Source organism: Homo sapiens, chromosome 1 (assembly GCF_000001405.40).
Source record: "Homo sapiens chromosome 1, GRCh38.p14 Primary Assembly".
NCBI classification, from domain to species: Eukaryota; Metazoa; Chordata; class Mammalia; order Primates; family Hominidae; genus Homo; species Homo sapiens.
In genome coordinates, this window is record NC_000001.11 from 1074608 (window position 1) to 1093836 (window position 19229).

The following is a 19229-nucleotide window of genomic DNA, read 5'->3' on the forward strand; positions in this document are numbered from 1 at the left end:
GCCTCCTAGCAGGGGCCCTCCCCGAGCCCCCCACAACCTATGCCCAGCCTGCCCCTGCCCTTTGCTCACTGCTGCCTGCCCTCACAGCCCATTCCTGCCACTTCCCTGCCCACACCCACCCATGTGCTCACCTGCCTCATCCATACACATACGTGGCTGCTCTCACACATGGGCCATGTGTTCACACGCTCTATGCCCCCGTGTCCACAGGCTCTCACACACGTGCCGTGTCCGGAAGCTCACATATGCCATGTCCACACTCACACACGCCGTGTCCACACTCACACGCCGTGTCCACACTCTCACACACATGCCATGTCCACATGCTCTCACACACGTGCCCTGTGTCCACACACACACACATGCCATGTCCACATGCCCTAGCAGACTACAGGACTGGTCTGTGCAAAGACCAGGGCTGGAGCTGGTTGAGAGTCTGGGGGCTGAGGCTGGCAGGGCTGGGATGGAGGATGTGTGGGTCTCAGAGGAGCAGCCAGTGGCATGGGCTGCCCCGTCCCCCGCACACCCCGCTGTGGGCCCGAGGGCCTGGTGTAGAGCTGCACCCCCAGGCTGTCCAGCTGCCAGCTCCCCACCTCACTGAGGCGTCTCTCTCCCAGCCCAGTGGACCTCATGCAAGGGGAGGTCCGACCCGGCTGCCACAGCCCCATCCCCGCCATGAGGCCTGGGCCGGACCTGAGCTGGGACTCCACACACCAGCCTGGGGGGGTGCCACACTGGGTGGGGCTGGGAGTGAGGGACCCACCCTAGTGGGAGAGCTGGCCGGGCCACCCCACAGACTGCCCTCAGGCAACTCCCATGCAGGTGCCCGCCGACCCCTCAGTAGGGACCCAGAGGCTCCCCCAGGGCTGCCGCGGGCATCCTGGAGCCCAAGGGATGCTGGGAAGTGGGAACCAGGACTGCAGAGGCCAGGGGGCAACACCCCGAGGAGGAGCACAGGGACTTGGGCTCAGGAAGGGCCGGACCCCTGCCAGTTCCATGAGGACTCTCAGTCGGGGGTTGGGGGGACCCCTGCCAGTTCCATGAGGACTCTCAGTCAGGGGTTGGGGGGACCCCTGCCAGTTCCATGAGGACTCTCAGTCGGGGGTTAGGGGGGTTCAGAGAGCGGATTTGGGTGCTCAGACAGGGAGGGGTGGATGCTCAGAGAGCGGGGCGCGGGCTGGGGCTGGGCTTTCAGACAGGGAGGGCTGGGGACTCAAGAGCTGGGGAGGGGTGGGAGCTCTGTGAGGGGCTCCGTGCGGGGTGGCTGAGGCTATGGGAACTCTGTGGGGGGAGGCTGAGGCTATGGGGACTCCGTGGGGGGAGGCTGAGGCTATGGGGACTCCGTGCCGGGAGGCTGAGGCTATGGGGACTCCGTGGCGGGAGGCTGAGGCTATGGGGACTCCGTGGGGGGAGGCTGAGGTTATGGGGACTCCGTGCTGGGAGGCTGAGGCTATGGGGACTCCATCGGGGGAGGCTGAGTCTATGGGGACTCCGTGGGGGGAGGCTGAGGCTATGGGGACTCCGTGCCGGGAGGCTGAGGCTATGGGGACTCCGTGGGGCAGGCTGAGGCTACGGTGACTCCGTGCAGGGCTGTGAGGCTACGGGGACTCCGTGGGGGGTGGCTGAGGCTACGGGGACTCCGTGGGGGGAGGCTGAGGCTACGGGGACTCCGTGGGGGGAGGCTGAGGCTACGGGGACTCCGTGGGGGGAGGCTGAGGCTACGGGGACTCCGTGCTGGGAGGCTGAGGCTATGGGGACTCCGTCGGGGGAGGCTGAGTCTATGGGGACTCCGTGGGGGGAGGCTGAGGCTATGGGGACTCCGTGCCGGGAGGCTGAGGCTATGGGGACTCCGTGGGGCAGGCTGAGGCTATGGTGACTCCGTGCAGGGCTGTGAGGCTACGGGGACTCCGTGGGGGGTGGCTGAGGCTACGGGGACTCCGTGGGGGGAGGCTGAGGCTACGGGGACTCCGTGGGGGGAGGCTGAGGCTACGGGGACTCCGTGGGGGGAGGCTGAGGCTACGGGGACTCCGTGGGGGGAGGCTGAGGCTACGGGGACTCCGTGGGGGGAGGCTGAGGCTACGGGGACTCCGTGGGGGGAGGCTGAGGCTACGGGGACTCCGTGGGGGGAGGCTGAGGCTACGGGGACTCCGTGGGGGGAGGCTGAGGCTACGGGGACTCCGTGGGGGGAGGCTGAGGCTACGGGGACTCCGTGGGGGGAGGCTGAGGCTACGGGGACTCCGTGGGGGGAGGCTGAGGCTACGGGGACTCCGTGGGGGGAGGCTGAGGCTACGGGGACTCCGTGGGGGGAGGCTGAGGCTACGGGGACTCCGTGGGGGGAGGCTGAGGCTACGGGGACTCCGTGGGGGGAGGCTGAGGCTACGGGGACTCCGTGGGGGGAGGCTGAGGCTACGGGGACTCCGTGGGGGGAGGCTGAGGCTACGGGGACTCCGTGGGGGGAGGCTGAGGCTACGGGGACTCCGTGCCGGGAGGCTGAGGCTACGGGGACTCCGTGCGGGGAGGCTGAGTCTACGGGGACTCCGTGAGGGGTGGCTGAGTCTATGGGGACTCCGTGCGGGGAGGCTGAGTCTATGGGGACTCCGTGCGGGGTGGCTGAGGCTATGGGGACTCCGTGCCGGGAGGCTGAGGCTATGGGGACTCCGTGCCGGGAGGCTGAGTCTATGGGGACTCCGTGCCGGGAGGCTGAGTCTATGGGGACTCTGTGCCGGGAGGCTGAGGCTACGGGGACTCCGTGCCGGGAGGCTGAGGCTACGGGGACTCCGTGGGGGGAGGCTGAGGCTACGGGGACTCCGTGGGGGGAGGCTGAGGCTACGGGGACTCCGTGGGGGGAGGCTGAGGCTATGGGGACTCCGTGGGGGGAGGCTGAGGCTATGGGGACTCCGTGGGGGGAGGCTGAGTCTATGGGGACTCCGTGCCGAGAGGCTGAGTCTATGGGGACTCCGTGCCGGGAGGCTGAGTCTATGGGGACTCCGTGCCGGGAGGCTGAGTCTATGGGGACTCCGTTGGGGGAGGCTGAGGCTATGGGGACTCCGTTGGGGGAGGCTGAGGCTATGGGGACTCCGTTGGGGGAGGCTGAGGCTATGGGGACTCCGTGCGGGGAGGCTGAGGCTACGGGGACTCCGTGGGGGGAGGCTGAGGCTACGGGGACTCCGTGGGGGGAGGCTGAGGCTACGGGGACTCCGTGGGGGGAGGCTGAGGCTACGGGGACTCCGTGCGGGGAGGCTGAGGCTACGGGGACTCCGTTGGGGGAGGCTGAGGCTACGGGGACTCCGTGGGGGGAGGCTGAGGCTACGGGGACTCCGTGGGGGGAGGCTGAGGCTACGGGGACTCCGTGGGGGGAGGCTGAGGCTACGGGGACTCCGTGGGGGGAGGCTGAGGCTATGGGGACTCCGTGCCGGGAGGCTGAGTCTATGGGGACTCCGTTGGGGGAGGCTGAGGCTATGGGGACTCCGTTGGGGGAGGCTGAGGCTATGGGGACTCCGTGCGGGGAGGCTGAGGCTATGGGGACTCCGTGGGGGGACGCTGAGGCTATGGGGACTCCGTGGGGGGAGGCTGAGGCTATGGGGACTCCGTGGGGGGAGGCTGAGGCTATGGGGACTCCGTGGGGGGAGGCTGAGGCTATGGGGACTCCGTGGGGGGAGGCTGCGTCTATGGGGACTCCGTGAGGGGTGGCTGAGGCTATGGGGACTCCGTGGGGGGAGGCTGAGGCTATGGGGACTCCGTGGGGGGAGGCTGAGGCTATGGGGACTCCGTGGGGGGAGGCTGAGGCTATGGGGACTCCGTGGGGGGAGGCTGAGGCTATGGGGACTCCGTGGGGGGAGGCTGAGGCTATGGGGACTCCGTGGGGGGAGGCTGAGGCTATGGGGACTCCGTGGGGGGAGGCTGAGGCTATGGGGACTCCGTGGGGGGAGGCTGAGGCTATGGGGACTCCGTGGGGGGAGGCTGAGGCTATGGGGACTCCGTGGGGGGAGGCTGAGGCTATGGGGACTCCGTGGGGGGAGGCTGAGGCTATGGGGACTCCGTGGGGGGAGGCTGAGGCTATGGGGACTCCGTGCCGGGAGGCTGAGGCTATGGGGACTCCGTGGGGGGAGGCTGAGGCTATGGGGACTCCGTGGGGGGAGGCTGAGGCTATGGGCACTCCGTGGGGGGAGGCTGAGGCTATGGGGACTCCGTGGGGGGAGGCTGAGGCTATGGGGACTCCGTGAGGGGTGGCTGAGGCTATGGGGACTCCGTGCCGGGAGGCTGAGGCTATGGGGACTCCGTGGGGGGAGGCTGAGGCTATGGGGACTCCGTGCGGGGAGGCTGAGGCTATGGGGACTCCGTGCGGGGTGGCTGAGGCTATGGGGACTCCGTGGGGGGAGGCTGAGGCTATGGGGACTCCGTGCGGGGAGGCTGAGGCTATGGGGACTCCGTGGGGGGAGGCTGAGGCTATGGGGACTCCGTGGGGGGAGGCTGAGGCTATGGGGACTCCGTGGGGGGAGGCTGAGGCTATGGGGACTCCGTGCCGGGAGGCTGAGGCTATGGGGACTCCGTGCCGGGAGGCTGAGGCTATGGGGACTCCGTGGGGGGAGGCTGAGGCTATGGGGACTCCGTGGGGGGTGGCTGAGGCTATGGGGACTCCGTGGGGGGAGGCTGAGGCTATGGGGACTCCGTGGGGGGTGGCTGAGGCTATGGGGACTCCGTGGGGGGAGGCTGAGGCTATGGGGACTCCGTGCCGGGAGGCTGAGGCTATGGGGACTCCGTGGGGGGAGGCTGAGGCTATGGGGACTCCGTGGGGGGAGGCTGAGGCTATGGGGACTCTGTGCAGGGCCGCTGTGAGGCCCTGAAAGCACTCGTCGGAGGCTCCTGCTTCCTGAGGTCCGTGACTCGGGTCACATGCCGCCTCCAGGAAGCACCCTGGCCCCTGCAGCTCTGGGAACGTCCTCCCGACAGCTCCTGGGAATATCCTGGCACTGAGGTCACTCTGGGCTCCCGGCTGACACTCGTGCCGGAGGCAAAGGTGAGGAAAGGCCGGAGGAATGTGTGGTCTCGGCGCCAGGCCAGGCCTCCCTGTGCAGGAGAGGAGCCAGCAGCTCCCCTTCTCTCAGCTCAGACGGTCTCTCAGGGCTCTCGGGAGGCTCAGAGCAGCTTGGCTGGCAGATTCCAGGGCAGGGGGTGGGCCCGCCTGGTCCCCTCCGTCGCAGCCAGTGGGCGGGAGGCTGGGCTGGTGAGCGTGTGGGCGTGTGTGAGCACACGTGCCCATGCTTGAGACATGGATGCTGGTGTGAGCACCTGACCCCTCACCTCCTTCACTCGGTCTCCTCACGCCCTCTCAGGGACTCCTTCCCCTCCAGGCCTCGGTTACGGGTCACACCTGGCACTGCCAGGCCTGGGGACGTGGTGCGGCCGGTGCGGGGAGGGGCCTTCCAGGCTGCTGTGGGGCCCCCGGCCTCGCCCCACCCCGCCCCGCCCCGTGCTGGGCCATTGCCTCAAATGCAGCGGCTCTGTTGGCCGTGGGACTGGAATTCTTTCCCAAGGGCCCAGATGTGCAGAGGGGAGGCCGGTGCGGGGGAGCAGGGCTCCGGGACGTGCACTTGGGTCTAGCTTTGCCCCTGACGTGCTGGGGCCGCCCCTAGGCCCAGCTCAGTGTGTCCCTCCTGTGCCCAGTGAGGAGGGCGTGCCCCTCGCTGCCACAGGTCCTGGCTGACCACGTGCTGCCCAAGGGCCAATCGCGAGTGCGCAGGTGGGGGACGTGGGGAGCCAGCTGAGGGGGATATGTGGAGGTGTCAGGATGACCCTGGGTTTTTGGTTTGGGCCACTGGGTGGGAGGAGGAGGAGGGGACCCAGAATTGAGAGATGGGGCCTGGGGGGCTGCTCAGAGGGTGGGCTGGGAGGTGCCTGTCTGTGTCTGGCCTGGCCTCCAGACCCTGCCTGGCTGGACCTGCTGTTCGTGCCTGTTTCCGATTTTATCCTCCAAACCAGACGCCCAGCCTGGTGCAAATGCAGGAGTGGAGTTTCCAGGGGGATGTGGACTCCTTCCCTCCACCCCCACCTCGGTCCCTGTCTCCTTCCCTCCGCCCCCACCTCGGTCCCTGTCTCCTTCCCTCCGCCCCCACCTCGGTCCCTGTCTCCTTCCCTCCGCCCCCACCTCGGTCCCTGTCTCCTTCCCTCCGCCCCCACCTCGGTCCCTGTCTCCTTCCCTCCGCCCCCACCTCGGTCCCTGTCTCCTTCCCTCCGCCCCCACCTCGGTCCCTGTCTCCTTCCCTCCGCCCCCACCTCGGTCCCTGTCTCCTTCCCTCCGCCCCCACCTCGGTCCCTGTCTCCTTCCCTCCGCCCCCACCTCGGTCCCTGTCTCCTTCCCTCCGCCCCCACCTCGGTCCCTGTCTCCTTCCCTCTGCTCCCATCTCGGTCCCTGTCTCCTTCCCCACAGGAGGAGTCTGGGGGCTCCCGCGTCACAGGGGCGTGGCCCAGGGCATCAGGTGGGGCGGTGGGTACTGGGCTCAGAGTGGCCTTGGGCTGTCCAGTCCCTCCCTTTCTCCCCAGGACCAGTGACCCTCCCAGCCCCAGGACACTTCTTGGGCCAGGGCCCAGGGCAGAGCCAATGCTCCCCCAGATACTCCCTGGCTGCAAACCTCAGGCTGGGGGTTTTTGGGGACAGGGATGCAGGTGTCTAAGGACACGACCCTCCAGGCAGTGGACGTTTCTGCCTGGGTGGAGGGCACGGTTACGAGAGCAGGGCCCGCGCTCTGGCATCCTGGTGCCCGGGCCCTCTGCCCTCAAGGCCTGTCCTGCCCCAGCTCAGCCCTCTCTGGCCAGGCCCATCACTGTCAGCAAACACCCCCACACTGCTGCCCCCCCAGATGGCCATGGCAGCCCTCCCGGGGCCCGTGTCTGCAGCCCCCACGCAGCCCGGCCGGCCGATGGAAACGCACACCCACACTCTGTCCCACCTCACTCCGAGCTGGGGGTTCGGGGACCACAGGTCCCACCTGCACAGGTTGCATCTGGGGAATGGGCCTGTGGCAGAAAATGTGCGGCGCGGGGCGGGGGGTCCCAACCAGGCAGCCCCAACCTGGACTCTCCTCCACCCCCGTCCCACCTCCTTGCCCCCAGCACACGGTGGCGGAGTGCGTGGGGCCAGCCTGGCGGGGGCTTTGCTCCCCGACCTGCACTTAGAGAACAGAGCATCCTACGGGAGAGAGCAGCTCGGAACGCAGCTTGAGTAATGCCGACTTTATATCAGCACACCCAGTGCCCCCACGTTCCCGCTGGCCCAGGTCCCGGAGACCATGATGGCACCCACAGTGGACTTCGCAAAGGAGCGTGGGGACCCCGAAGGCCAGGCCACCCCTCAGAGGGGGGTCCCATGCTAAAGCAGACGGTGCCGGTGCCGCAGGGCGTCTGAGACCCACGGTGGAGCCCGGGCCTGGCGTGCGGGAGGCGGCCACGACGGCGCCTTTCTCCCAGGAACTCCGGGAGGGACCCCAGGACTCAGCGCCAGGGCAGCCTTGGCAGGTGCAGTGAGGCAGTGACTTGTGGGGGTTAGATGTGGGCCTGCCCCACGTGGGCAGGGATCAGCCAGGCATGGGGGTCCAGCGGATCCGAGCGGGGCCACAGAGCTCTGGAGGACTTTTCTGCACAATGAATTTCTGCTTAAAAACAGAGATCAAGAGGAAGCTCTATCCTGCAGCTCCGGAAATGGGTGGCTGCGTGCTTGGGGTCTCCGCCACGCGGGAGGACAGCCCAGAGGCACCCTGGTCTCAGGCAGCTGGTTCCTAGGCTGTGTCCTCCCCACTGGCCGGGCACCGGCTGGAACGGCACGAGGACCAGCCTCACTGTTCTCAGAGGGGTCTCGGGCCACTGGGTGTGGTGGTGCTGGAGGAGTCCTGCCCGCTGTGGGCTCTGGAGGGCACGGCAGCAGAGCCCCTGGCTTTTCTAGGCAGAGCGGCACCTGCCCCATAGATCGTGCCAGCTTTGGCTGCAGGCGCTGGGGCCTCACCGTGTTTCCTGGGGGGGCCCGGACCCCCCAAGGCCTCGATCTGAAGCTCTGAGGTCTCATGGATGCCTGCTCCTGGTCCGATAAACGAGATGGCTGTGGTGGGGAGGAGCCTCAGGCGGCCCGGGACCCTTTGGCGTCCGTCGCTGGGAGGCGGAGGGACTCAGAGCCGAGGCTGTGCCCAGGACTGTCCCGGGCGCCGGGCGATGCCAACACTTTGTGCTGGTTCCCGCCAAGGGGTCGGCCTCCGGGTCCCTGCCGCCAAGTGCGTGGCGTGGTCTCGGCCTCCAGGTCAGACATTGCTGATACGGGCCTCCCCCGGGAAGGCAGCGGGATCCGTGGCCCTGTCCAGGGGCCGCTCCCGCCTGACGTAGCGCGGCTTCCGTACTGAAACGGGTCAGAGACAGGCGAGGTCAGAGTGGGACCTGGACAGCAGGGACAGTGCAGGCCTCAGCCCTCACCGGAGGCTCTCGGGAGTGGGCATATGGCACAGGCGCCCGGGGCTGTTTACTCTGACCAGGTGGGAACCCAGATGCCCCCTGCCCCTAAGGCGCCCTCAGAGCTCCAGCTCGGGAAAGGGACGGCTTCCTCCTGCCCGGCTGTGTCCTCTCATTTACACCCTGGGCCCCGGGGCCTGGACAAGGGCCAGGCGATCCCCGAAGACAGAGATGTGGGTCCCAGAGTATCATGCACCTCAGGGGGCGACAAGCAGGCCGTAGTCCCAAGACCTCGAATGTGACCTTATTTAGAAGAAGGGGCTTTGCAGGGGGTTACGTCAGGGTCTCAGGTGTGATCGCCCAGGGTTCCCCGGGCAGGCCCTGAAACAACGGCCAGGGCCCACCTGAGAGAGAGGCAGAGAGAGAAGACGCAGAGGTGGGGGAGACGCCGTGGGACCAGGGGACAGAGACGGGCAACGCAGCCACAGATGCCTGAGCCGGCAGGGGCTGGGAAGGCAGACAGCGTCCTCCCCGGAGCCTCGGGAAGCGTGTGGCCTTGTTTGCCCCTTGGTTTTGGACTTCTGAACTCTAGGATAGTCAGATTAAAGGTCTGCTGTTGAAGCTGGCAGCCCCGGGGCACTCGGGCACCGTGGGGTCTGCTGGGCACTTGCAGACAGGGCTGCTTTAGGGACGGGGCACGTCCAGCCTTGATGGAGAACGGTCTGTCCCCTAAAGGCACGGTCACCTGCCCCCATGACAGACTTCTGCACAGGGGGACGGAGGCCGGGTGAGCCCTGCTCATGGCCTTGGAGCTGTGTGGCTGTGCGCCGGTCACTCAGCCTGTGTCTGTGGCCCCGCACATAAAATGGGTCCTAACCGGGCTGACTCTTGGGTCCGCCTGACCCAGCACCACTGAAGCGATGGCTGCTCAGGAGGGCCTGGCGGAGGCCGGCTGCGTCTGTCCTCGGGTGGAGCTGGACTTCAAGGAGGAGCAGGTATTGGGGGTCTGCCCTGTCGTGGTGGGTCCTCCTTTCCTGCAGACCCCACGTCTCGGGAACAGGAAAGAGCATGGAAGTCACGGGGATTAAAGGGGGGCGGGCAGGGGGCGCCGGCCAAATCCAGCTGAGATCCAGAGCAGGGGGCACCAGCCAAATCCGGCCCTGGCCCTGCCTTGTGGGTGGGTCTCCTGGGGACCCGGGCAGGGGTGGCCGAGATCCAGAGCCAGGCAAACCCGTTTGGGGACAAACCCACAGAGCACCCTGGGACTGGCCCAGAGATGGGAAACCCCACAGGGGGATGCGACAGCTGCTGTTACCTGAGGACTGTGGCGGGGGGATCATTGCAGCCTTGAAAAGGAGAGAAAGGCAGAGTGAGGACTCGGGATGGCCTGGCACAGGCACACGCGGCCAGGGACGCTCAGCCCGGATGATGTGGGTTACTTACGGCTTCGCCAGGCTGCAGGGCCGGAGCTGTGGGGGAGAAAGCGGAGAGTCACCCTGGAGCCCAGGAGCTGCCTCAACCTCAGCCCAGTGCAGCGTCCGGGACAGCAGAGCGAGGAGCTGCCTCAGCCTCAGCCCAGTGCGGCGTCCTCGGAGCAGCAGAGGCCCCGGGGCTGCAGGGTCTCCCCCAACCTCTCCCTGCGGTGCATCAGCCTGGCCCTCGGTCCTGCCACATTCCTCCGGGGCACTCACAGGTGCGGGGGCCTCCCTAGCACCCCAGGTGAGTCCCCGCTCCCTGGACCCACCTTCCCGCCTCAGCAGAGGGGACAAGCCCCCCTCATGAGAAGCGTCTCCCCAGGCTCCAGGGTCCCAGGGGAAGGGCTGCCCTCCCACCCTCCCGGGAGGAGCCTCAGGCACGAGGTGGCTTTGAGCCCCACGGCCGTGGGCTTCTGCCTCCATGGTGCCCCCGCGATGGGGGTGCCGTGGCATCGTGGCCAACCTGGCTTCTCGTCCCGTGGCCACCAGGGCTGACCAAGCCCTGAGCCCTGCTCTGCTCCAAGGGTGCCCATAGGCAGAGATGCTGAGCAGGCCGGGTCTCTCGGTGCCTGGCTGTGCAGGAGACCCTGGCAGCGGGCTCCCGACTGGAGGCTGGGCCCTGAGACCCCGAGAGAGGTTGAGGGGGATGGACAGGGGTCTCACAGCAGCCAGGTGGGGCTGCCCAGAGACCTGGGAGGAGGCCCCAGCTCGGCTATCACAGTCTGGCCAAGTGCTCACCTTGGGGTCCGAACTGCTGGCTGGACCATCTGCCTGGCAGGGACCCTGCGGGGGCCGGCCCTGGACAACGAGGGCAGGCACCACGGACCCTGCTCAGAACCCGCCCCCGCCTGAAGGCACCACAGTCACAAGGCCGTCTCTCCAGTGGGAAGGGGTCAGTGCCCAGGCCCGGGGTGACCGTGTGTACGGCGTGGCGTAGGCTGGGGTGTGGGCCCTGCACCAGCCTGGCCAGCCCTGACCCCAGGAGAGGGGAGGGGGGACCATGGCTGCTGGAGGAGCCCAGGCAAGTCCAACTGCCGAGAGCCACCCAGCCCCGCTCCACTCGCCCCTCGTGATGCCCTGAGGGCCCCGGGGAGACGCCTCTGCCGGAAGAGGGCTCCAGCAGAGGTTCTGGGCCCCGAGGAAGGCCCCTTGGTGCTTCGACCCTTCAAATCCACACACGGCTGTTTCCGGGAAGTGACGGGCCTTCTCACACCGGGACCCAAAAGCCACAGGACAGGCCCTGCTCCCTCCCGGCCTCTGCCAGCCTGCTCTGGCCTGGGACACTCCAGTCTCAGGCCCATCTCCACGGCTGGATGCCGCCTGCCCTGTGCCCTCCCGTGGGGCAGGTGCTGGTCCGGGAGATACCTTTGTTTCTTCTGTAGCAGGCCCTGGGGAGTTTACTGGAGCGCTTGAGGTAGAAGAACCCAGCTACGGAGAGGATGAGGCCGGAGCTAATGAAGAACGTGCCCAGGAAGAGGGAGGCGGCCACGCGCGGAGCCCCTGCAAACAGACACCGCTGAGCAGACGGGCAGGACGGTGGCCCTGGCTCCTCGCCTGGCCCCCGGTGCCCCCTGCACATGGCAGATGCGCTGCTCTCTGAACATGCCTGAGCCTCACGGGACCGGCTGTGGGTGCCGAGGGCTCTGCACATGGGCCTGGGTCATCCCTGCAGGCTCAGCCATGCCTGGGCATCTGGCCGCGGGGTCTGGGAAAGTTACCACCTGCCCCGGCCTCAGCTTCTCTCAGGAGCTCGGATGTTGGGAGCGTTACAGGGGCTGACCCTGGCCGGGCTCTGCGGAAACACCTCTCCGATTCCAGTTGCCCCTGAAAGCCAGGGGGTTCTCAGCCTTGTTCCTTCCTCCGGGCTCAGCACAGGCCCTGGGGCCCCCACACAGGGCAGAGCCTCAAGCTGGCAGCAGGTGCTCCTGCACCCCACTCACCTCCACCTGCCTGGGCCAGGACAGGCCAGGGCTGCTGGCCTGGGGCTCGGGACAGTTGGCAATGGCTGCTGGGTGTGCTCTGAGATGCTGGGGAGGAGACTCCCCAACCCTGAGACACAGGCGTGTTTGCCAGGCTTGGGGGCCTCGCTCCTTCCTGCCCCAGCACAGAGCCACAGGAGGCCAGGAGCCCATCCAGGCCAACCCCACCCTAAAACACTGCCACTCAGGTCAGCAATGGACCCAGGCCAGCTCAGGGCCGTGAGTGTGAACCTGAGAGCGTGCAGTGTGGCCGTGAGCGTGAACCTGAGAGTGTGTGGTGTCAGCGTGAGCCGTGAGTGTGAGCCTTAAGTGTGAACCTAAGAGCGTGCGGTGTGGCCGTGAGCCATGAGTGTGAACCTGAGAGCGTGTGGCTGTGAGCTGTGTGACCCTGAGAGAGTGCGGTGTGGCCATCAGGGCCTCCCCTAACTACGGCCCTTTAGAGATGTGGCAGAGCCCCCCATGACGCCCCACATCCCCCACCCACACCAGCTGACCCCAAGCTGCAGGGGCTGCCACGCTCCCCTCTGGCTGTTTTGCAGAACCCTGAGCCTGCTGTGGCTGCGTCAAGGGTGAGGGTCTGCACTGGCTCCGACGGCCCCCAGCCCCCAGGACACCGGCAGAGGTGGCTGTGGCCTGCTGAGACTTACCAGGATGTGGCCGCCCGGGGGTCCCTGAGCTTCTGTTCATGGGGAATGGCGCACCCGGGCCAGCAACTGTGGGATAGCAGAACTGTGGGAAGCCTGTGTGCACGGAGCCCACGGGGACACCCACGTGCACCCTGAAGGGATCTCAGGACGGAAATATGAAAGCGAGGGGCTGAGGGGGCGGAGCAGCCCTCACCACAGAGCTGTCCCGAATGGCCCAGCAGACTCGGGAAGAGGGGGCTCCCGGGGCTGTTCCCCAGTGGACAGTGGCTCTGGGGCAAGGTGGGGACACAGACAGCAACTCCCACAGTGTCTCCCACAGCTGGAGCTGTGAGAAGGGAGCCGGGGGGAGCCGGGCAGACCTACAGCTTCTACACTCGGAGCCGTTGTAGGCTGGGAGGGTTCCGTTCCCACAGCGGACGCAGCTGGCGCTCCCGTCCGCGTTCCAGCGCCTGTAACAGCCTGCGTGGGGCAGAGGACGGGCATGTCAGCCAAAGCAAAATCCACACCAGCTGGGTCTCCTGGGAATGATTCTCTATTTGAGTTGGTGAGATAACTTTCATTCCAGATACTAACATGCTCTGGAGGGTAGGTGGGCGGCAGACAAGGACACCCCCAGGGAGCATGGCGGGGCCGTGAGCACCCCACGCTGAGTACTCCACACTGCGCACCCTGACCCTGAGTACTCCGACCCCAAGTACTCCACGCTGCACTCTCCACGCCGAGCACCCCGGCCCCGAGTACTCCACGCTGCACTCTCCACGCCGAGCACCCCAGCCCCGAGTACTCCACGCTGCACTCCACGCCGAGCACCCCGGCCCTGAGCACCCCGACCCTGAGTACTCCACACTGCGTACTTCAGAGAGTGGTAGGCGGCAGCATCCAGAATGAACAGGCCTGTTGGAGGGACTCGTGCTCTGCAGGACTGCAGGCTGGGCCCGGCTTCCACCACCCAGCCTTCACCCCACAGACTCCCCAAGAACCCCCACTGCAACGCCTGCCCCAGGCCTCCCCCAAGACCCCCCCCACGCCTCTCCTAGGATCCCCCAACGGCCTCCCCCAGGACCCCCCCCCCATGGCCTCCCACAGGACCCCCGCATGCCTCCCCCAGGGTCCCCCACGCCTCCCCGGGACCTCCCCACGCCTCCCTGGGACCCTCCCACGCCTCCCCAGGACCCCCCCACGGCCTCCCCCAGGACCCCCCACGCCTCCCCCAAGACCCCCATCTGCAGTGCCTGGAGCGGCTGCCTCGCACCCCGTGTTCCCTCATGCCGCCCAAGCAGGATAGGCCCACCCGCCAGCAGCACAGCCTCCTGCCCCAAGCTGATCCCGACCCTTGGTCCATCTGTCACCTCCACACCCTGGCACCCTCCCCCGGGTCTCTCTCGGGGGATCCTGCAGAACCAAGCCTCATCCCCCCGCCAGGCCGACGCTGCGCCTGAAGCCTCATTTCCGCCCACCGGCCAGGGCGCCTTTAAGGACAGGAATTGACTTTTACTCCTTGACTTTCTAAATATCTCCAACACTCAGCCCAGAGCTGAGTAGACACACTCTTGATGCCGACTGCGGTGCGGCTGCTGGTGCGGGCCACGGGTGGACCACACGCCTCGACCCTTCCTCACAGACTGATCTGAATACAAACGGGCCGCGGCGACACGGGGACCCCGCGGTGGAGAGTGGGCCTGAGACCCCGGCACGGTTGTGACAGGGGTCACTCTGCAGACACACCTCTTGGAAGAATGGAAGTCCACCCGCTCAGTCCTACCAGGGTGGAGCTGCGCTCTCCCAGCACTGGGGGCAGCCTCTGTCTCCCGGCATCTCCTGGCACAGGGCTCGGGCGACTTCAGCGAGGCTCTGTCTGAGAGTCTCTGCCCCGGAGGCCGAAGAACGGAGTCCACGGCAGGGAGCCAAACACCAGCGCAGCACTGTCCCCAGAAGTGCCCGCTGCCTCCCCGAGCGGAGACGTGACCTGGCTTGGGGCCGCACGCAGGGGGAAGCGTATCCAACACCGCAGGCCCGGCCCCTCCCCACGCGCGCCAGACGGTCCCCACCCTGCGCCTGTGCATGGGGCCACCTCGGCCCTTGGACTTCACGACCCGCTGGCCTGGCCCCTCCATGGGCACCGTGACTGCTGCACAGCTGCCTGCACCCACAGAGTGCCTGGGGTACACAATCCCTCACAGGAGACGCCACGGCCCCAGCACTCTTGCTGCCATGGGGTGCCAGGGGAGTGGTTCTCACCCAGCCACCAGGGCTTCAGCATCAGACGATGAGGACCCCAAGGTGCTCAGCTTCCTCCCAGCCCCTCTGTTCTCCCTCAGAGCGGTGCCCTCCTCCTCCTACCCTGCGTGTGCCTCAGATGTCATCACTGCCTTCCTGTGGGCTCCCCAACCCCCACGCCCAGCCTCGGACCCCCGCGCCCAGCCTCACTGGCTGCCACAGCCGCCGTCTTGACCACGCCCTCCTCACGAGGCCCCTGAGTCCCCAGGAGCAGCCCTTCTGGGTTCTTCCATCATGGGAGGGCTGGACCCCCAGGATGGGAGTGCCAAGGCCCTTGGAGGTACAGCTGGGGCATCTCAGCCCCAAGTTCACCAAGGGCCGCCAAGGAGTGGCCCTTGCACCTTCTCACTCTGTCCTCCCCTCCCCTGGCTGCTCCCACTGGCTGCCCTCACCAGCCTCAACCTCCTGACACCCAGCTGCCCCCAGACAGTCCCTTCCGCAGCCTCCCAGAACCTCTGATGAACAGGGCCTGCCCGTGGCACGCTGACACAGGCCGGCATCCTCGTGGCGTCCTGTTGATTGGCATTCCACTCCACGCACCAGGGGCCAGCAGCACCTCTGCCCGAGCACGGACAGGCAAAAATGTCTTGGGCTTTGCCAGAGGCCCCTGGAGCCAGGACAGCCCCGTGAGAATGGCTGAGCTCATGGGCCACTCCCCCAGACCCTTCTCCAGGCACCTTTCTGATCTCAGCTCCTGCCTCTGCTCCCAGCCCTCTGCTGGGCCAGTCTTCTCATGAGGCTGCCGCTCAAGGCCGCCCGCCAGAAAGGAGGCTCAGATGTCCTTCCCCAAGCTCCACAGCCCTCACTGCCCCATCCACTCCCCAGGTCCCGCAGCACAGATGAGCACTGTCCTTGTCACCGAGGGGAGGGCCCTGGGCACACACACACCAGTGGCTCAGGGGCCGGTCTGGAATCTGCTTGGGACAAAGCGGCTTACCTGGACCACACAGACTTGCGCCTGGGCAGCTGGCGTTGACGCCCACCACATCCACACAGCACTCGGGCAGCTGGGCCTGGAGGGGACACGGCAGTGAAACTCCAGGACGCGCCTGCCAGGCAGGCTCACGCCCAGAGCAGCAGCGGCTGAGGGGTGCCGTGGGAGCACATCTCAATGTCCGCAGCTCCGGCCTCTTCTGGAGTCAGCATCGGGTGGCCCTCTGTCCCCTGTGGGCCTGGGAGCAAGGAGGGGCCTCACAGCCACAGTGCACATCCCTGTGGGACCCTGGGTGGGCGGTCTCCAAGGAAAAGCTGGGCCTGGAAGAGTAAACCACCCCCAGGAGGCGGCACCCGCAGGCCATGGCAGCGCCACCGACATTCTCTGCAAGTCTCCGGAGGCTCTCCATCAGGGGTTTCCGCTTGACCCCACAGAGGAAGTGCCCGGGCCTGGCTGGCATTTCAGGGGACGAATTCACGCCCAGGTGCCCAGGTACTGCACAGGTGCGCTGGGTGCTGGCACTTACGGTGTGTGTGAGGGCCCATTCCCTGACCACAGGCAGACTGGACAGGCCTGGGGGGCTCAGGGTACCCTCAGCTTGTGTGTTGATCACAGCTGTGCTGTTTCTCGTGACCTGAATGCAGTGAACGGTGAGGGCGTCCAGGGGTGACTGCGGAGTGCGGGATAGAATCCACACCGCCAGGGAGGGGCCCAGGTCCGGTCCCTCAAACGCCCCAGCCAGGACAGTGAGGGGTCCCCACCCTCCACCCGCTCCGCCTGGGAGTCTGGAGCCGCCGCAGCTACACTCCCCGATAGCGATGCGCGGCACGCTGTGCTGTCACCGCTGGCAGAGGTGCTCCCATTGCGGGCCAGGATGCCTCACCGTGGGGGCCCCGCCTGACCCAGCCATTCCTGAGCAGGCGCTCACCCAGCAGGCAGCGGAGGGCTCCCCTCTGCGAGGCACAGGCCCCTCTGACCCCAGCAGTGGACCTGGTCAGCACCTCTGGGGCTGGGACATCAGTGTCCTAAAGGTGGAAGGGTTAGACCCTCTAGGGGAAGGGCCCACCGCCCTCCACAGAGGCTCTGGCTTAGGCCGCGTGGACACGTGAGGGGGGCACCTACCGTGTTCTCCATGGACTTGCTGGCGACTCCCACGAGAAGGCCAGCCAGGAGGGCGAGGTGCCGCAGCGCCATGCCAGGAGCAGATGCGCAGAGCCTGCCACAGGGAGGAGCATGCGGAGCCAAAGAGATGGAGTGGGGCTGAGGCAGGGTGGGTGGGGCCAAATGAAAGTGGGGTCAAGAGATGTTGGGGGGGTGCGGGCCAAGGCAAGGAGGGCAGAGCCAAATGGAGATGGGTGGGGCTGTGGTGGAGGGTGGGGCCAAATGGAAGTGGGCGGGGCTGTGGTGGAGGGTGGGGCCAAATGGAAGTGGGCGGGGCTGTGGCAGGGAGGGTGGGGCCAAATGGAGATGGGGTGGGGCGGGGCCGCGGCAGATGACTGAGTTAAATGGAGATGGGGCAGGGCCGTGGCAGGGGTGCAGGGCCACGACAGGGAAGGTGGAGCCAAATGGAGGTGGGGTGAAAGAGTGAAGGCTTGGGGCCTTTGGAGGCACGGGTGGGGCGAGGTGTAGGCAGGGCCTTACCTGCCCCTCCAGGATGGGGACTACCGACATCAGCCCTTTGCCCGCCTGGGTGTTCAGGGGTTAGCTCTGGGAGCTCATGGGCTCAGCTGAGCCCTGCAGACCCCGGCCCAGTCCTGCAGATGAAGACAGCAGGTGAGGCCGTGGTCACGCGAGGGCAACCCAGGTGGGCCGTGGCCTACGGTGCGGGGTCTGGGTCCGGTCCGGGCCCTCTGTCCACACCCTTGCCGGCCCCTGGCTGTCGAGCAGGGCGTCCTGGAGGGGCTGTCTCCACGAGTGTTTCCCCCGAGCTGGCCTCCTGGCCTCCTGCGGGTGAGAGTGCCTGGGATACAGGCCCTCGCTGGGATACGGGCCCTCGGCCCGGCCTTTGCTCAGGGACCAGGTACGGAGCTCAGTGGCCCAGGCTGCACTTGGTGGACACCGGTCCTCCCGCACAAACCCCCTCTCTCCCCCCTGCACTTCCAGCCACAGGACCTGTTACCATGGCCCTGCCTTCCTAAGGGAGGAAACGCCTGCCAGGCGCACAAATCCTCAAGTGGTGTCACTGCACTGGCTCAGGGGCCTCCCTGGCAAGTTACCCCGAGGGGGGCTGAGGCCCAGCCAGGCCTGTGGGGCTCCTCTTGATGGGCCTAGGCCGGGGTCCTGGGACAAGGGCTGTGAGCAGCAGGGAGACGGAGGCCCTGGAGGACACAGCTCCAGTCTCTGCACAGGGACGGTCCACTCTCCGCACAGGGACGGTCCACTCTGTCACCCATTCCATGCTGGATTCAGGTCATGGCCTCACAAACTGACCAGGCTGCCCAGGTGTGAGCCTGCCGGAGGACTCTGGAAGGTGGGGGTGGTCGGAATGCTTGAGCTCAGGAGTTGGAGACCCACCTGGGCAACACAGCCCGTCTTTACAAAAAGTTTAAAATTAGTCGAGCCTGGTGGTGGGAGCCTGAGGTCCCAGCTACTCAGGAGGCTGAGGTGGGATGATCACCTGAGCCCAGAAGGTGGAGGCTGCAGTGAACGGAGACTGCACTCCAGCCTGTGCAAGGGGAACTCCGTCTCAAAAAAAAAAAGCATGCTCTCCTCTGATTCAGCTCCTCCTCTCTGATGTGAAATCCTTTCAGATGGAACGTGTTGAAGTCACAGACATGCTGCTCGCCCCACCCACAGAGTGCAATCAAGTCTTAGTTTGTCCTTTTGTCCCTTTAACATTTGCCCAGCAGAGACCGTCTTCCCCTGCTCAGTGGAAAACTCCAGACATCACAGACCCTTCTGCTCCCTCTCTGGTTAAAGGGCATCCTGAGGGCCACATTAAGTCACAAAACATCATTTTGATTCAGGAACCAGAAGTCCAAGATTTCAATCAACACTTTCATCTGCTATTTAGTCAACTTCATGGAGATCTACTTTACATACAATAAACCACATCCGTGTAAAGTACACAAGCGGGTGAGTGTGACCACCCCCTTGAAGCTGCCACCACAGCCAGGACGGTGCCCGGTCCCACACAGCTGCCAGCACTCGCTGCGGCCCCCACAAGCCCGGGCTCCCGGCAGCCAGGAGCTGACCAGACTGCAGCTGTATCTTCTAGGGTCTTACACAAAGGGGTTGCACACACTGACCTTTAGATCCTTCCATGTTGTTTTATCCGCACTTTCTTCCTTTCCACAGTCGGAGGATTTTCCACTGTGTTGGCCAAACGTCACCGCCTTTGCCCATCACCTGCCAGTGGGTGCCTGGGCTGCTCCCAGTTCCTGGTGACTGGATGGAGCTGCGGCCAAGGTCCTGGCACATGTCATCATGTGGACATCTGTCTTCATTTCTCTTGGGAGCAGAGTGGCTGGCTCACAGGGAGGTGCAC

The 19229-nt window shown here is 66.4% G+C and overlaps 1 protein-coding gene across 3 annotated transcripts in view, besides 6 other annotated features; it reads right to left on the bottom strand.

Moving 5' to 3' along the window:
* Window positions 5445-5524: a silencer, noted in NCBI's record as "silent region_30". NCBI's record gives its function as "represses an Ori minimal core promoter by ATAC-STARR-seq in GM12878 lymphoblastoid cells {active_cell/tissue: GM12878}" and the evidence as "EXISTENCE:reporter gene assay evidence [ECO:0000049][PMID:35858748]".
* Window positions 5585-5684: a silencer, noted in NCBI's record as "silent region_31". NCBI's record gives its function as "represses an Ori minimal core promoter by ATAC-STARR-seq in GM12878 lymphoblastoid cells {active_cell/tissue: GM12878}" and the evidence as "EXISTENCE:reporter gene assay evidence [ECO:0000049][PMID:35858748]".
* Window positions 5892-6594: an enhancer, noted in NCBI's record as "H3K4me1 hESC enhancer chr1:1015879-1016581 (GRCh37/hg19 assembly coordinates)". NCBI's record gives its function as "activates a minimal SCP1, AML or CMV promoter by ChIP-STARR-seq in naive and primed H9 embryonic stem cells {active_cell/tissue: H9 hESC(naive and primed)}" and the evidence as "EXISTENCE:reporter gene assay evidence [ECO:0000049][PMID:30033119]".
* Window positions 6595-7296: an enhancer, noted in NCBI's record as "H3K4me1 hESC enhancer chr1:1016582-1017283 (GRCh37/hg19 assembly coordinates)". NCBI's record gives its function as "activates a minimal SCP1, AML or CMV promoter by ChIP-STARR-seq in naive and primed H9 embryonic stem cells {active_cell/tissue: H9 hESC(naive and primed)}" and the evidence as "EXISTENCE:reporter gene assay evidence [ECO:0000049][PMID:30033119]".
* Window positions 7216-19229, bottom strand: part of C1orf159 (chromosome 1 open reading frame 159) — a 34267-nt gene continuing 22253 nt past the window's right edge. Inside the window, exons 3-12 of one of the 3 annotated variants that reach the window (NM_001330306.2) lie at window positions 17384-17496; window positions 16865-16958; window positions 16269-16376; window positions 15746-15821; window positions 12895-12990; window positions 12532-12597; window positions 11271-11405; window positions 9874-9899; window positions 9308-9776; window positions 7216-8380 (exon numbers count right to left, since the gene is read on the bottom strand). In NM_001330306.2, the coding sequence (NP_001317235.1) occupies window positions 8286-8380; window positions 9308-9776; window positions 9874-9899; window positions 11271-11405; window positions 12532-12597; window positions 12895-12990; window positions 15746-15821; window positions 16269-16376; window positions 16865-16936 (1143 nt within the window). In that variant the 5' untranslated portion in view covers window positions 16937-16958; window positions 17384-17496 and the 3' untranslated portion in view covers window positions 7216-8285. The remainder of the gene's footprint in view (window positions 8381-9307; window positions 9777-9873; window positions 9900-11270; window positions 11406-12531; window positions 12598-12894; window positions 12991-15745; window positions 15822-16268; window positions 16377-16864; window positions 16959-17383; window positions 17497-19229) is intronic. The other 2 variants (NM_017891.5, NM_001363525.2) reach the window with 2 other exon arrangements.
* Window positions 7314-7493: a silencer, noted in NCBI's record as "fragment chr1:1017301-1017480 (GRCh37/hg19 assembly coordinates)". NCBI's record gives its function as "represses an EF-1alpha promoter that drives an FKBP-Casp9 reporter gene in an ReSE screen in K562 erythroleukemia cells {active_cell/tissue: K562}" and the evidence as "EXISTENCE:reporter gene assay evidence [ECO:0000049][PMID:32094911]".
* Window positions 18339-18388: an enhancer, noted in NCBI's record as "active region_12". NCBI's record gives its function as "activates an Ori minimal core promoter by ATAC-STARR-seq in GM12878 lymphoblastoid cells {active_cell/tissue: GM12878}" and the evidence as "EXISTENCE:reporter gene assay evidence [ECO:0000049][PMID:35858748]".